This window comes from Homo sapiens, chromosome 7 (genome assembly GCF_000001405.40).
Source record: "Homo sapiens chromosome 7, GRCh38.p14 Primary Assembly".
NCBI classification, from domain to species: Eukaryota; Metazoa; Chordata; class Mammalia; order Primates; family Hominidae; genus Homo; species Homo sapiens.
In genome coordinates this window covers 39,192,874-39,209,993 of record NC_000007.14, presented here as the reverse complement: position 1 = coordinate 39,209,993, position 17,120 = coordinate 39,192,874, and the positions used below count along the sequence as shown (strand labels likewise).

The following is a 17,120-nucleotide window of genomic DNA, read 5'->3' as shown; positions in this document are numbered from 1 at the left end:
AGGATTCCTTCTAAGGTACTGATAGTCCATTTACAAGACTCTCACCCTTAACTCTCACCTTTGAGAGAGGATGAGATTTGAGGTCATCCTGAAGACTAGCTCAGTCTCAGAACCCCTGCAGATGACCTTTCAGCCTGTCAGACATTCACTCACCATCCCGAGTCCCACTGCTTCTGCAACATAACCTGGAAAGCTCCACAAGCCATTGATTCTGCCTAGGGATTATCAAGGGCTGTGCAATAGGTCGCCTAAAGGTGGGAAAATCAGCTTTGGGATGGCTGCTGGTGGATTGATTACAAGGTGACCACTGGCTTTGCCCTTTAGGTGGTGGACATTTATCTTGGGCACTTTTGAGGCATGAGACTTTCCTGATTACCATCCTTATTGCCCTTGAACTTCTCGTTAGGATGACCACCTCTTTCTGGGTTACCTGAGACTTATACTAATTAGAAAGCTTTTCCTATAACCAGCTGATTTGCAACTGGGAGGTGATTTATTCTAATAACCTCATCACCTTCCCTCCAACGTCAGTCAAATTTCAAAGAGGAAGACAAAGGGGGAAATGTTCACTTGTGCTTGTGTAGCAGACAAGAGCTTGGGCGTCAACTCCAACCCACTTCTGAAGATGATGCTGAGAGGGAAATTGTGTCAGAAGTGCCCAGGGATAAGAAAAGCAAGAACTTTTGTTTCCCCTACTTAATCAGGCTACAAAGCTTGGGATTCCTTTTCTGAAACCAGAGGTGACTCAAAGAACCAAACTCCAAACTATACGCTAATAATGAACTTTGATATTTACAACAAACAAAAACAAAAGGGAAAATCTTGGTGGAAGAAGTCCACGTTGGACCAATCATTAATTTTGAACCCTTAAAAAAACAGGTACTAATATCTTAAGAATATCAAACTATGATCAAGAAATAACAAGCCTACTTTTTTTTTAAACTCTGATTTTTGGCAACCATCTTAACCAAGCAGGATTAATTCATGGCCTAGGAGCTCTTTGAGCTTATGTTTATTTATAATATTCAATATTCCCATAAGCACAAATGTTCCAAACGGAAGGCTGCATTTTGATAATGCCCATTTCTTCATTAAGATTTCATCATCCACCTACATTAAAACGCCTCTCCCTACACTTTGTTGCTTCGGCTTTCACCTTGTGTATTCCTGCTTTATTTGCTTAATCTTGAGATCTGGCTTCCCAGGCACTCTCAAATTTGAAACAAGCAAAGTTTGTGCATTAGCGTATCCTGGGCATGCATGATTTATGAATGGCAGGTTTCTTGGCACAATTTAATGGTACAAGAGAGACTTCGTTTTAAACATCAAAATGGAAGTCAAGAAGTGGCAACAATGGGTGGGGTAACAGAACATAGAGAACGGAAAGAAGTTTGGGTCAAGAGTGAACAGTTCTTACTTGGTCTGTTTCTTAGTCTTGTGGACTGATTCTCCGATAAATTATATGAAGCCCTAACATTTGACCAGCTAAAAAAGTATTTTAAATTGCTATTCTGATAACTTACCCAGACAGGCCCTCATTCTGCAAAAATTTTAATTGTTAATTTTATATATATATGAAGAAAACAAACATCTTTGACTAGTCCAAAATAAATTCATTTTCTCTTTAGCAGGCATCCTATTTATATTCAGGTCATTTTCCACCAAAATAATTACTCCTCTGACAGAATCTTTTGTAAATCAATCTATCAGTCAATGCTACCAAATCTTTTAAAGAAAAGTCAAAACCTTCATAATATCAAGACAACTACCCTTCCTAAGTAAAATTAGAGTCTGACTTGTTATATGTCCCTGTAGTATAAAGGCTCAACATACAAGTCTATTTTTCTCATTGCAAAATATGAGCTCAAATAACACAATTTTTGTTTAATAACTATAACTAAAACATACTTTGTAGAGCAAAATAATCATTAATAAATTATTCCAAATAATATCTTGTATTTGAGATGTTCCAATCACTTCAAACACAAAAAAGCAACCTCTAACTTTTCTTTACCCATGGCTAAATTGAAGAATTGGTGAGATGATAACTCAGGTCTTCAAATAACAACACAGGAATTTTACTTTTAAGTTTCTGATATGTCATGCAATGATGACTCATAAATGCTTCCAGGAGTCCTGAAAAGTTTTGATACCAATGTTAGGAAATGAGGATTGATAAAACCAATGGCTTGTGCAGGCTCAGGATTCACAGACAACTGAAAATTTTGCTTCCTGTGGAAGCCTTCCATATCATTTAGGGCAGAAGCAACTCTGAACCACATTCACCATTCTAGGCACATTTTTTTTTGCCCACTTCAGAGAATACTGGCCAACGGGTAGAGCCTTACGTGGCGCATGGACATTATGGATTACCTTGTAGATTTTGCAGTGGCAGAGTCATAATGCCTCCGGCTGCAGCTGCTGCCACCAGCCCTTGGATGTTGGTGAGATTCGCTGTTGGCAGTGTGAGAACCAGTCCTTGCTGGCCTCCTAGCTGTCCCGCCATGTTGAAGGGAATGAGGATTGGCTGGTTGAGGGCTGGGGGGCCTCCCGGCATCACGCCGGCCACAGCAGAAGCTAACTGCTGTGCCGTCAGAAGTGGCTGCAAGGAAACAGATACAGCTAGCTCACTTTCCTGTGGAACCAAGGCATGGGTTTTAAAAACATCTTCTTTCCACTTAAGTAGGGTCAGAAAGTTCCCGAAGAAGTACCAAAAAACATGCCCTATCTCATTAAAAAAAAATGATTGGTAGAAAAAAATTTTCAAAGTTGCATTTCATTGATTTCTTTGGAAAATTTCATTTGGTTTGGACTTCTTGTGAGGAACTCAAATATCTTTACAAGTAATAACTTACGTTTATATGCTACTCTTCCATTGAGTTTCCATTTGATCCTATCTTCATATATTTGAAGCTCTCAGCTAATTTATTCTCTGTTGTTCCAGAAAGAACTCATTGGGATCAGTGGGATTTTTTGATTCAAAAAGAGCAACGAAATACTACTTTTGACTTTTAAATTAACAAAAATAATGTAGAAAATTTACTCAATGCTGGAAAGTCTGTATTGACACCATTATGCAGATCTATGGCTGGGGGACATGTACACTAGCATAATCCTTTTGGAAAGCAATTTAGAAATAGATTATCAAGAGCTGCAAAAATATTTATCCCCCTTTAACTCAGAATATACTCCTAGGATATAGCTTGAAGATATTATTCAAAAGGAAATAAGATAACTGCATAAAAACATGTATTGTTTCAAAATACATAAATATTGAAAATAGCTTATTACAGTACTAAACTAGATGAAATATTGCATAGTCATTAAAATGGATCATTATGACACCTCTTTAGAAAAATAGAAAATGTTTATAATATGAGAATAAAATAGAAAGTAAGCTGGATAACTATTAAGTAAACTTGAATGATTATTGTTAAAATGGTAGAATTATGTATGTACAATGACAAGATCTAAAACAGAATGTAAGACATAAAAATATTTGATGTGGATAAAACTTAAAATCTTTGAAAATAATTCTTTTGTTATTACTCTAACATCATTTGCCCAATTAAAATGATATTATACAAACACATGTTTACATCCACTATGGATGGAACAGCCCTTCTCTGGTAGGGAAAGGCAACTGCTCGGCATGTTTTGAGTGCAGCACGTGGGCTCTTCACCAGGATGACATGGGAAGGATTCCTGCCCTGGTCAAGCCAGATGACCACAAGAGTCATTTGATCTTAGAGTCCTTGATTCAGGACTTTCATTGCAGCCTTGTGGGAGCCATGTGGAACATAATAATCCTGTATCTGTTGTTCTTCTACAAGAACCAATGCAAAACTCTTATGTGAGGGGTAGGAAATTAAATACAGGCATACTACTAAGCTCAATGTATAATAGCCAGGCACTATTCTAATGCTGTAGTTAATCTACCAATGAGATACAGAGAGGTTAGTAACTTGCCCAAGTCCCATGTCTAGTTGAGAGGGGGTTCAAGTTCAAGCCCAGGAAGGCTGCTCCACAGCCCATGTTTTACCCCTTTCTTGTATCCCCTCCAATACAAAGAACAGATTTAGAGAAGTGGGGCTGCTTTATCTGAAGAATGAGGGGAGGTGTGGAGAGGGCTAAGCCCATACTTGGCCATTCCCTGCAGTGTTCCTTTCAGGACCCTTTGGGGGAGACTCTGCAGAGCCCTAGGATTCTGCACAGCTGAGTTTAGAACTGCTGCTTTAGACCCCACAGGCCTTGCTCCTAATGTATTTGTGCACTTTGCTAAATTCACACCAAGTAACTGTGCTTCCCTTTTTAAAAAAATACAGTTATTCTAATGAGCAAAATAAATATACTTCGGGAATGTATACAAAATTATATGCTGGCCCTCAGATTCCAGGTGTTACATCACTGCCAATAGTGATATTATGGTAAGAGGGAAGGCAAATAAGTAGCTCTCAGACCATATATGGGTCATAGATTTGGGGGTTTTGGCCTGCAGCATTTTAAAAATAGGATTTGTGGGCTCAAGGCAGGGCATGCACTCTCCAGTTTGTCGGAGGGCCACCACTCCTCACTGACCTGGGCCTGTGGGGCTGCCTACCCAACCTGAAGGCATTAGAGTGTGTTACCCCCAGTATGTTCACAGGCAGGTGTGCAGACATACACACACACAGACACACATAATTACATGAACACACACACAATGTTACAAGCATAAAATTATAAAGCGTATGACACCAAAAATCCTGTTCCTGAGAGTCCCAGGAAAACTCTCTAGGCTTCCATAAGCCAGCAGACATTTCCCCAGGCTTTCTGTCCACAGGCACAGAGTGATCTGTCCTCCGAGATGGACTACGGGATCTGAGGCCATAGGGAGTCTTGGTGGCGAGTGGAATAAGAATGTCAAGGCCAACCCTCACTCTAAACTTGGGTGAGCCCTCAATGTGCTTAAAGTCATTAACTTCCAGGAGCAATAATGACAATAAAAGGGAGAGAAAGGCCCAAGTCTCAGCTTCTCTTTCCAAAAAAGCAGGATGAACTCTGAAAGCTTCACACTAAATGATAGAGGTAAAAAGGAAAAAAAAAAAAAAAAGCCCAGCCTTTTATAATTGTGTTCTACATCTCCATATAGCCCACACCAGGCTGCAAAAAACAAATATTGGACTTTAAAAAATAATGATTGTATTTCTTTATTAATGCAAGAGCTATGTGTGATGTACAGTATTGTCAAACCCAATAAGCTGAACTTGCATTAAAATTGCATTAACTTTTTTATATTAAATCACATCTTCTATTTCAAAAATGGCTATAGTAAGGTTGAAATAACTTAATTTTCTTCACACTCCAGTCATTAAAGTTTTACTTTCCAGGAAACTGCACGGTAACCAACAGCACAATTGTAGTGGGTTTTAAGATAAAAAAAAAAAAGTGTTTCCACATGATTAAAGCCAACCTTTCCTTTAAGAAGAGAGAAGAGTTTTGCAAACACATATTTTCTTGGTGGTATTTAATAAATAATGTAGTCATACAGCTTTTCATACGAAAATTTATTACCATCTTTGCTCTGTTGGAGTCAATTGGATTTAACTCATTATTATTTATTTGGTGATTTATATGGTTAAACCATCCTAAATGCAGCCCAGTGGAAAGCAGTTGAGAGATACTGACCTGTGGCCCAACTGGAAATGGGGGGTGGGTCTGACTGGCCTGGTGTTGGTCAGGAGTGCCTGGGTCTGATAATGCTGGGTTTCCTCTAGCCCCTGGAATTCAAAAGAGAAATACTCCCTTAATATATGATCCAGCTTGGGAACTGATGTCACATAACATTAAGGCATAGATGATATGACAGAGTGGTTTATCAATATCTCCAGTGCTCAAATCACTTATCAACTGCATACATAATGATGAGAGACATTCAGGATGGCCAAGTTCATCAAGAGGTAGAAGAATAGAACAGCAGGGAATGTAGCACAGTCAGTTTGCATAGAGTATGCCAGTGTGTTGTATGTGTGGGAAGCTGCAACCTTTAAGTACAGGCGAGCCACAGCTAATCTAGTTTCCTAAAATTAAACAAAATGTGATCTCAGATATGACCAAGTCTATCAATATTTCCCCTAATATGGCTTTCCCCATCTCCTTCATATTCCCTAATATGGCTTTCCCCATCTCCTTCATACTCCCAAGTTCTTATTCCGTACTCTTTGAACACTGAATCTTATGACATCGCTTTCCTGAAAACAAAGCCTTTTTCCATATCACCTTATAAAATGTTCTAAAAAGAATATGGCTCTCCCCAAGCAAGTGTCCCAGGTGCTAATTGAAACAGTAGGAATCCCGCAATAGCTCCAGGGAGCTCCGCCATGCTAAGCACAGAACACAACTTGCTTCCTTTACCAGAATCCTACTGGACAGCAAAGCAGAAAAAATGAAATTCCACCAAAGAGCAAATCCTTCAAACCCTTTTATCATGGTCATTTCTCTACGTGTGTTTCTGTGCTTTGTTTCAGGACAAACTATAGCAGGTAAGATAGTGGTAGAAACAATAGATACACAAACAAACAAACAAAACAAATAAAACCAGTGGCAATTTTTGAGAATTTCTACTTGGTAGCTTTGTTTCCTTGGAGTTTTCTAATGGGTGGTTGAAATCCAATTCCAAGCAAACCTTAACAAGATCCTTTTTCCTGATGTTTGTCCTATGAATAACAAGTGGAAGACAATTCAAACCCTGTTTACCGGCATGCCATGGACAACCCAGAAAAAAAGATATGACTCTGTCACACTTATAAATTTTAAAGAAGGTATTATTGGCTCATTTAAAACAAATTCTCCTATATATTCTCCAAAGGGACAGACTTATAAATAATGGAAATGGGGGAAAATACTTCAGCACATTAAGCTACAAATAAAATTGACTGCTACATATTATTCAATTGACTTCTATCTCTACCACAATGTGTCAATCATAACAGCATTTTATAATAGGATTAAGCAATAAATGTGCAAAGCCATTATGCAGAAATCTGAAAATCTGATTAATTTGTAATATTTTTTGTGCAGAAAGTCAGGAATGGACATTGCTTGGAGAATACTTACAAGCATTCTATTGAAATTTCTAAATTGATTTGGAACAAACTAATAAAAACACAGACTTGCTGACATTTTATAAAGTGAATTCTGACAAAATATGTTTGGCATTTTAATGATTGCTGTCATTTAATAACAAGGGTAAGATGACCCATCATAAGATGCCAACCACTTCCTCATAATGTGCAGAAGACCTTTCTTCTAAATTTTTTAGATGTGATTTACCTATTATGCTTAAAAGCACGGCATTTGAAGCTGGGAGATGGCTTGTGCAGTGCAAACCTTGCAAGTCTCTGTTCTTTCTTATATACCCAAGTCCAATTTTGCCCTAAAATTCTCAGCAGAAATTTATGTACTTCAAAGAGCTTATGAGGTTTCAAAGTGATGTTTTGGTCAAATATTCAGATTAGGCAAATTCTCAAATGGCTAAAAATGCACAATTTTTTAAAAATTTGGTTGTTTTCCCATACTTGCCAGGCATGGGTTTTTATACCAGACTATGAAAAGAGTGTTTTTACAATGCACAGAAAAATAGAAAAGCCCTTTTAAGCAATTAGAAAATGAATACCTGCATTCTAAAAAATTTCTATACCATGCCAAGCCCTTCTGTCTCTTTTTTCTTTCATGCATACCAAGCCCACTTTTTGACTCTGTTTCTAATGCATGCCATTGTAATGTTTAGGATTGGTCTCACACAGGCACTGTGTCAACAAGATTGTGCATTTGTTCCCCTCAACTTTACACAGATTACATTTGCTTACATTTATTCTTTGTTGCTTTGAGGCCTAGCTGGTGCTCAGTAGCTTGTTCTGAGGCTGGTTAATTCTCAAAAACCACGTTCAGTGCAGTCCAGGGCAATTCCACACAATTTCATGTGTAAAATGAAGTCTTTCACAGGCTCTAGAGGAGATTATGTATGCTCTCCTGCCTGGATCCAAAAGTAATGTTTCTTCTTAGTGTGCATCCCCATTTTCCCCAAACAGATGTATCACGCATAACCTTGCAGGACCATAAACTAATCCGTCTGGTTGGAAGGCGGCTCTGGAATCAGGGGCCTTCTCAGAGCCAGAGGGGGAATCAGGAAGTCAGAATGAATAAATGGCGTTGGCTAAGGGTTTCAGAGAGATTTGAAGCAACACTTAGCTGAACGTTTGCAGAGAATTTGACATTGGATATTTTCATGGGCACAGATATGAAAACACAAACTTGAATGGGTTGGGTGGGTTCCTCCTGACCAGGAGCCTAGGAAACATGTTACATCTCTGAGACCAAGGAATTCCAGGAAAGCTCTCTGAAGTCTGTTCTGAAGTTAGCAGCCTATGCTTTTGAGGCAGCAACTATGAGCTCTATGGGACAGGGGCTGTGCTGCTGGTTCATCACTTTATGCTGTCATTTCATTCACATTTCTTTTTCAATAGAAATAGGGGTCTGGCTTTTAATTCAGCAGTGATATAATTCCTTTAAGATAGGTACTGGCATCCACGTGACTACTCACTGTTGTTTAACATAAACCTTTGAAATATCTTTAAATTATTAGCTTATTGGCAAATTCCACCTCGATTCCAATTTAGATATTAAAAGCCGTTTGGTGTAAGAGTTAAAACCAAGAACTCTAAAAAAATTTAAACTCTGCCTGGGTTTAAATTTAGCACTACCACTTAACTGAGAATGTGAACTCTGGCTTGTTTTCCAACTTCATGCATCACGTTGTAAAAGTCAGGGATAACAACAGTACCCCTCTCACAGCATTGCTGTTGTGAAGATTAAATGAACTAATATGTATGTAACTTTCATGAAACAGCGCATGCTTGCCATATAAGTGCTATTTCTCTTGATTATTATTATTTAATGAAAATATTTAATTTGTATTTTTTTTTGAGAGAGACAGTATCTCACTCTGTTGCTCCAGCGAGAGTGCAGTGGTGTGACCATTGCTCACTGCAACCTTGATCTCCTGGGCTCAAGCAATCCTCCTGCTTCAGCCTTCTGAGTAGCTGAGACTACAGGAGCGAGCCACTACACCCAGCTAATTTTTTCTTTTTTTTTCTTTTTTTCTTGTTGGTACAGAAATCATCTCACTCCATTGCCCATACTGGTCTTGAACTCCTGGCCTCAAGTGATCCTCCCACATTAGCCTCCCAAAGTGCTGGGATTTTAGGCATGAGCCACAATGCCCAGCCTAAATTGTATTTAATCTAATAATATTTAATATTATTTGTCTATAATAGTGACCTGCCCCAAGTCAACTCAATTCATATTCCTGCCCCTCTGTCCCTTTGTGTGGAATTTACATTCTCTTGCACACTGACTAAAGGTGGCCACTGTGCGCTGACTCTAACTCTGTCCTTGGCACCACTGGATGAACGTTTGGAACTCGACTAAATAGTTGGGTCCTGAAGAGCCTACAAAGCAAGATGTTTACATATAGAGTTGCTTCCTTTAGTCCATGGTAGCATAATCAGGAAATATGGCACAAAGATAGTGGCAAAGTTTCCAAATTTTTACATATACCATGGCTTATAGAAGTGGTTTTCACCCAGGCCTGCGAATCATTTGTGGAGCTTCCTGAACACAGAGGTTGATATCCCTCATGAGGCTACTGACAGAGCATCTAAAGCGTAGCTCACGTGAATGTTTTATGAAACTCTACCTGTGACTGAAGACCACAGGGAGCCAGCAGTGGCTTAGACGTTACCCAGGCAAGGCTGAATCTCCTTTGCGCTAAGACTGCCATATGCAATCCGTTTTCTGAATGGCAGATGGGTCTGCAGCTAGTGTAATCCCCTTGGCCTTCCAAGCTTCTTTATCTGCACCATTCTTTCATCATAATCCTGACTGACTTCTAGCTTAGCAAGGGAGGAATCATCTCAGATACATCTGTTTTGTAATTGTGATTTGTTCACAGGTAATTTTAAAAATATAATAACTGATTTTAAAGGGATCATAATATAAAATTTAAAATAGCTACATAATAGAAGTTAATTCTCTGCAAATACAAGAAACCCTGTTTTGAATCTATTATGGAAATGATAGGTCATAAATGGTGAAGACATCAAAATACTGATTAGGAGTTTGGATGGTACACTTGGATACAACTTATTATTAATTGTTATAAGACCTGGTTGTCAGAGGGCATTTGTTCACTCAACACCATTGGTCCCAGGGTTGATCTCACATCTGAAACCCACAGGGTGCCTGCAGATCCCTCTGCTCTGAAGGGACTGTGACCCACAGAGGTGAGGGGGTGACCACCTGAGCACGACACTCCTTTCTTCAGTGCCCTCCTGAGGACCAAGCCTCCCACACTCCATTCTCTCCACCCAGCTCAAGCTGAGTCCCTGAAGAACCGTCACCAATAACTGTCACCGCACTCCTCATAGCAAGTTCATTTTTGTTTTCCAATTCTTTTAAAAAAAAATTGGTACAACAGATTTTCATTCACCAAGGGAAACCAGTCTCAGCATCTCTTAGCTACACTAAAAGTAAAATAGATGTTCACTCTTGCACAGAGTTTTGAATTGTTCCCTCTTTTTGGAGTTGACTCTTCCAAGTAAGTCATTTTAAGAAACACATATACTCTTTTTAATCCCGAGAGTATATACTCCTTTCTGGAGCCTTACCCTTTGCAAAGAGGATATGACGGCCAGGGCAGATTGAGAAAGGAACAGAACTGCAAATACGAATTGCTCATCCCAAGCAAAACAACTCCACTTCCTCCCATGTGTCAGCGATCCCTCCAAAGTACAGTGCTTAAGATTCCCTGGTTAATGACCAATGCATTTTTTATGAATTGGGTTCTTTGGATAGAGAGTTTGGGTTTCTGTGCTCTCTGCATTAGCACAAACATAATCACATGAAGGTCACAGAGATCCCTCAGCTTTCTCTGGTATTCATACCTTTCTCACCGACTGTTTGCAGTTTCCACCAGTGAAGGAGGTGACACAAAGGTTACTTATTCTAAGACGGACAGTTGGATGCATTATTATTTCATGTTGGGTGTGAGAATCCCAGCTAAGCAGAGCAAAAGTCCCCTCTAAATTAAACTTTTCTTCCTTTCAATTTTTTCAAGATTACTAAATGCCAAGGAGGGAGTGGAGGTGTCTATAAAAATCTCTGCTGAGCTACTGCCACTGTTTGCCACTTTTTATTGCCAGTTAGAATTTCTTTATGATACTGGTCACACAGGTATTTATGTACAGAACACTGTAGAGACCCTTAGTAGAATCTGAGACTCTAAGGCTAATTCTACAAGCCATGCTTGGAAATCAAACATTCATTAATCCACAAAATGGTTTGTACGTTTTTGCAAATTACATTGTCAGGTACTTGTAAATTCACCTATTGAGACCTGGAGAACCAAGACTGTCTGATTACATTAATATGAAAAATGCATTTCTTTATTCTTACAGTGAGTGACTTATCTGGCTCCAGCAGAAGGAAGTCCAGCTTTCTTTGGGTGAGGGGTCTAGGTCCTAAGTGGTTCTAAATCTTTATTTTAAGGCTGCATCTACACATGAAAAGCCAAAGGGAGATTTGGGACAGTTAGATAAACTACAAAAAGAAATTCTACAAATCTCTTATTTGGACTGAAGATGTTTTTGTACTTTCTGCCAAAATTCCTCAATAATTGCTTCATTTTTTATAGGTAGATTTAGTCTGTGCTATAGAAGACTTTAATGACTTTTTTCTTCAAAATTTACTAAACATCCCTCAGTCTTCCTCCAATAATTTTTTATCATTTGTTTTCACATCTATCTAATAAAAGCAGAGCGAAACTCCTGTGATATCCAGCCCAATAAAGGTCTCATTTTCTGTAAATACTTTTTCTCAGAGAGACAGGAAAAAAGGAGATAGTCATCAAATGTATTTTGGCAAAATTCCATGACATACTTTAGGCAGTTAGAGAACTTTGGGAGTAGAAATTATTCCTTGAGTACTGCTATCTCTACAAGAGTGTAAGTTCTTTCAGGGAAAAGTCTCTAACTCATTTTGTATCTCCCACAGGCCAGCTCCAGGCCTTCATATGTAAGAATATACATATGTATGTATCTCTATATGTATGTGTGTATGGTGGTGTTGAGGTACATCACAGTGAGTTCAAATCCTTAAAATGATAGAGGTGTGTGTCAGAATCAGCGGAACGAAGTCAGACACAGATTTTAGAGCATTCAAAAATAGTTTGTCTGATTTTTAAAATGCCTTTTTAAGTCTAAGAAGCCTTGCTCATTTCAACACAGTTCTCCCAGGAAATGCACACTTGCTCTGACAAGGTCATTGCTAGGAGGCACCCTCAACACTGCGCTCCATCCCTGGATAGTCTCCTTACAACTGATAGCTGGGCTCTGGAATCCACAGATGGTGCAGCCACACATGTTCTGGGCTTTCATGCCCATCTAAGCAGCCTCCCTCTTGCTTCGTCCTTGCTCAACCCTGTGCCAATGGGGTTAAATAATTTGTGGGGATCAGTGCAAATTACAAACGCAGGTCCTGGCCTGCGGCTGGTAAATCAATCCCTCCTTCCCCAAGGCACCACCCCAACCTATCGCACATGGGCGAACCCAAGGGATTGTAACCTTCCGGCTGGGATGTGTTGGAGACCTGGATCGGGTTGGACAGGAAGACCCTTGAGGAGTTGCATGCTGAGCATATGACCTTCCCCTCACCTGAGCCCAAGCCCCCTGAGAAGGGCAGAGTGGAGCATGTGACAGCCACACTGAGGCTTCCAGGGGCAGAGAGTGGGCAGCCAGAGCCCGTCCTGTCCTGGGGAGGTGAGGAAACTCTAAGCCCCCTCCACCCTCCTACACGCTCAGATGTCCCATTGGACTTTACTCATAAAACACAAATTCACAGACAAATTCTAAAGAAATTCAGGATGGTGACCTCAGGGCATTAAATCCCAGCCATGGGGTTCTGGGGGCTGCCGGGCTCTGTGAGACTGCAGCCATCACCTGCTCGTGAAAGGGGCCCTCCCCATAGCTCGCTGCCGATTCCACTGACTCGGTTTCCATACAATTTTGGGTTACTAGTTTTCCTTCAAGAAACCTCAGAAAGGATCCTCAAATTTTGAAAATTGTCCCTGCACTTGAAACTGCTTCAAGAAAGTTGCTTTTCTAAATCAGTGCAAATTCTTTTTTCTTTTTTTTTTTCTTGAGATGGAGTCTCGCTCTGTGGCCCAGGCTAGGGTGTAGTGGCTTGATCTCAGCTCACTGCAACTTCCATCTCCTGGGTTCAAGCGATTCTCCTGTCTCAGCCTCCTGAGTAGCTGGAATTACAGGCACACACCACCACACCTGGCTAATGTTTGTATTTTTAGTAGAGACAGTGTTTTTCCATGTTGGCCAGGCTGGTCTGGAACTCCTAACCTCAGGTGATCTGCCTGCCTCAGACTCTCAAAAGTGCTGGGATTACAGGCGTGAGCCACTGCGCCCGGCCCAAATTAGTGCAAATTCTTAAGAATGCTTATATCTACAGAGGAATTTAAACATGGCTTTTTTTCCCCAATAAGAAATCAAATCTACAAATCATCAACATGTCTATTACAGGTCATTATGAATGACCTCCTAAACATATCATTTGGTGGGAAATTGATAAAATACGATTTTGTTTTCTAACTCATTATCTATGCTGATAATAGAGAGACAAGGTATGAATTCTTCAAAAAAGGAAGCATTCGAAAGGTGTCACCTGCCTTTCTTCAGCTGTAGATCTACCTTTGTAACAGTGTTTCGCTTTCACTACCACCACCACAGATTTTTCTCTCCTGGCTGGCCGCCGAATCACTGTGGAGCTTGACAAGGGGACAAGATCTAGATTCTGCAAGGCAGTGTAATTGGCCTAGTTTTAAATTGTTTTCAGTTTACCTACCTATAGTAAAACAGTCAAGAATTACCAAGAGCTGGCTTTAAATGTGCTTGAAAAATGGCCAAAGCTGTTAAATAATCTTTGAAATTGTGGGACTAGCTTAGGTGAGGAGAGAGAGAGAGAAGAGCGTTTTGGGGGTGAGGAGATGTGGGCGAAGTGAGGAGAGCTAGTCCATGTTTTCTTACCTGCTACCTGCATTACAGTACTGTGATGTGGAAATGGCAAGGCTAGAGAACGCTGTAGTTCTTTTTGCAAGATCCCACCCTTCAGCCCACTTCTAAAACATTCTGATTTGTGTTCTAATATCTCCAAGGCTCTCTTTGCAGCCTTACAGACCTACAGGACTTCCCCATCTGACACCTTCTTACGAGATTTTCAACTGTTTTTACTCACCGAGACTGTTAACCAAGTGGCCCCACATGGATACTGGAAACCGAAGCCTAAAGAGGAGATGGGGACTGAACAGAGATCCCTGTGTTGTGGTGACATGAATCCGCACGCTTGGCTCAGACCAAAATTATCGTGAGAATGACAGTGATATCTCATTCCCCTCTTCTCCTCCAAGACCCCAGATGCCTTCCAGAAGTCTGAACGCTGCACAACCCTTCAGCAGCAAGGAGGGTACTAATCTGTCATGCAGAATATGATTTAAGCATGAGTTACAACAGAATAAGCCATTATTTCAATTGAAAATGATAGCCTCTGGGTGCAGTCACTTCTGCTAATATGCATGGTACAAGACCTCAGAGACCTTCAACACAGAAGACAGTGGTTCTTCCTGGGCAGTAGCTGCATTTGTGTCTGCAAAGGGCAGGTGATTAAATGATCACAGACCGTGGACCTGCCCAGATTTTGAGATTTCACAGTGCAGTCAAATTAAATGAGAACATTAATAATTGGGACAATAGGAATATGAATCTTGAAATTTAATTTTTCCAAGAAAAAAATTTTAATTGTCATGTGCTACTGTGTCCAGAATTGGTTCCTTCCGCTGGGTTCTTGGTCTGGCTGACTTCAAGAATGAAACCGCGGACCCTCGTGGTGAGTGTTACAGTTCTTAAAGATGGTGTGTGCGGAGTTTGTTCCTTCAGATGTGTCCGGAGTTTCTCCTTCTGGTGGGTTCTTGGTCTCGCCGGCTTCAGAAGTGAAGCTGCAGACCTTCACAGTGTTAAGCTCTTAAAGGTGGCACGTCCAGAATTGCTTCTTCCTCCCCGGGGGGGTTCGTGGTCTCGCTGACTTAAGGAGTGAAGCTGCAGACCTTCGCGGTGAGTGTTACAGCTCATAAAGGTAGTGCGGAAGCAAAGAGGGAGCACCAGCAAAAGTTACTGTGAAGAACGAAAGAACAAATATCCCACAGCGTAGAAGGGGACCGGAGTGGGTTACCACTGCTAGCTCAGGTGGCCAGCTTTTATTCCTTTCTTTGGCCCAGCCCACATCCTGCTGATTGGTCCATTTTACAGAGCGCTGATTGGTCCACTTTACAGAGCGCTGATTGGTCCACTTTACAGAGTGCTGATTGCTCCGTTTTTACAGAGTGCTGATTGGTGTGTTTACAAACCTTTAGCTAGATACAGAGCGCTGATTGGTGCATTTACAATCCTTTAGCTAGACAGAAAACTTCTCCAAGTCCCCACCTGACCCAGAAGCCCAGCTGGCTTCACCTCTCACTATCATGATCAAACAAGACATTTTTAATGCCCTTCTCCCACCCCAAGGATGTGTTCTCGATCTCAAGACAATCCTTTAAAATGAAGAATTTCAGCCTAATGAAAAACTCGCAGCATCCTGCTTTCTTTTTCACTTTCCTTTTGACCAGTGACTGTTTCATCGTAGATGGACCCTGGTCTGTTTGGAGTGTTTGGGAGTTTCATGTGTTTCATGTGAGCAAGGTAGGATTTGAGGAATCACAGCATGCTCACTGCTTTTATTCTTCTAGGCACAGGAATGTGTGGCCAACACTCCTCTTTATTCAAAATAATTTTGAATAAAGAATTCCTTTCTTCCCTTAATCCTTATTTTTAAGAGACAAAAATATAATTTCCTTCATATATACACATTTCTATGTGCCAGGTCATACACTAATGACTTTGTATATATTATTTCTTCAACTCTTACAATAACCCTATTAGGTGTTTATGATTATTCCATTCATTTATACAGGAAACAAAACTGTATAAACTGTCTAAATAAATAGACAGAAATTAACTCACTGCCTGTTTGGCACAATGAGGAAGCAGCAGAGAGATGAGTGTATCCGGGCTTTCTCACTGATGGCAGGATCACGTCTTTATCCAATTAGGTTTCTCTACTGCTCAAACATTTTGCAATAGCTGCCATCGACTCAATACTTACCATGTGCCAGCCACTATACTCAGTATTTTATATCTGTTTTCTCATTAAATCTTCACAGAAGGTCTGTGTAATCAGGACCATCATTCCCATTTTGCAGATGTGGAAACTAAGGTTTAGACAGGTTAAGTAATTCACGTGTGGTCACAGTTAGTGAGTGATAGAGTTGGGATCTGAATGCAATTCCATTTGACTTCAAGACTACACTACATTATACATAAAATGCAAATATTTCAAAAAGACAGACCACAATAAATCACCAATATCATGATACAAATTGCATTTTTCAGATATTTTCCTCTGCATCTAATGGAACCTGGCCCCAGAGCACTCTACATTCCCAGTATGGTGGGTGGAGGGGAAATGGCAGAGAAGTGGGGGAAGGGGAAGAGTGGGTCCCACCAGAGACATCCTTTTCCTGTGCCCCATTTTTTTCCCCAGGAAAACTTGACCAAATTCCTAAGAAATAAGCACCCCCCGCAATCGTCTTTAAAAAAATGTTAATAATGAGCTAAGTGCAGCTGCATTCTTAGTTTAGGGTCTCCATAGTCAAGTGTGACCCCTGGGCCAGCAGCATTGGCATCCCTTGGGACCTTGTGAGAAAGGCAGATGCTCAGGTCCCAGTCAAGCCAGGCCTCAGACCCGCCAAATCAGAATCTACATTATAACAAAGCCCCTAGGTGATGCACAATGCCCACGGTAAAGTGCAAGAAGCACTGGGTTTGAGTTCATAATTCTTTCCCTTTCTCCTTGTCCTTCCTCTCTTCCTTCCTCCATCCTTTTCTCCTTCACTCCTCCCTTTCTTGTTTCCTTTCTCTCTTTTT

General features: G+C 40.5%; 1 protein-coding gene across 5 annotated transcripts in view; it reads right to left on the bottom strand.

Moving 5' to 3' along the window:
- The window catches only part of POU6F2 (POU class 6 homeobox 2), a 490,693-nt gene that overhangs the window by 258,608 nt on the left and 214,965 nt on the right, over positions 1-17,120 (bottom strand). For all 5 annotated transcript variants that reach the window (NM_007252.4, NM_001166018.2, NM_001370959.1 and 2 more), the window contains 2 exons: positions 5,668-5,759; positions 2,374-2,602 (listed from right to left, as the gene is read on the bottom strand). In NM_007252.4, coding sequence (NP_009183.3) covers positions 2,374-2,602; positions 5,668-5,759 — 321 coding nt within the window. The remainder of the gene's footprint in view (positions 1-2,373; positions 2,603-5,667; positions 5,760-17,120) is intronic.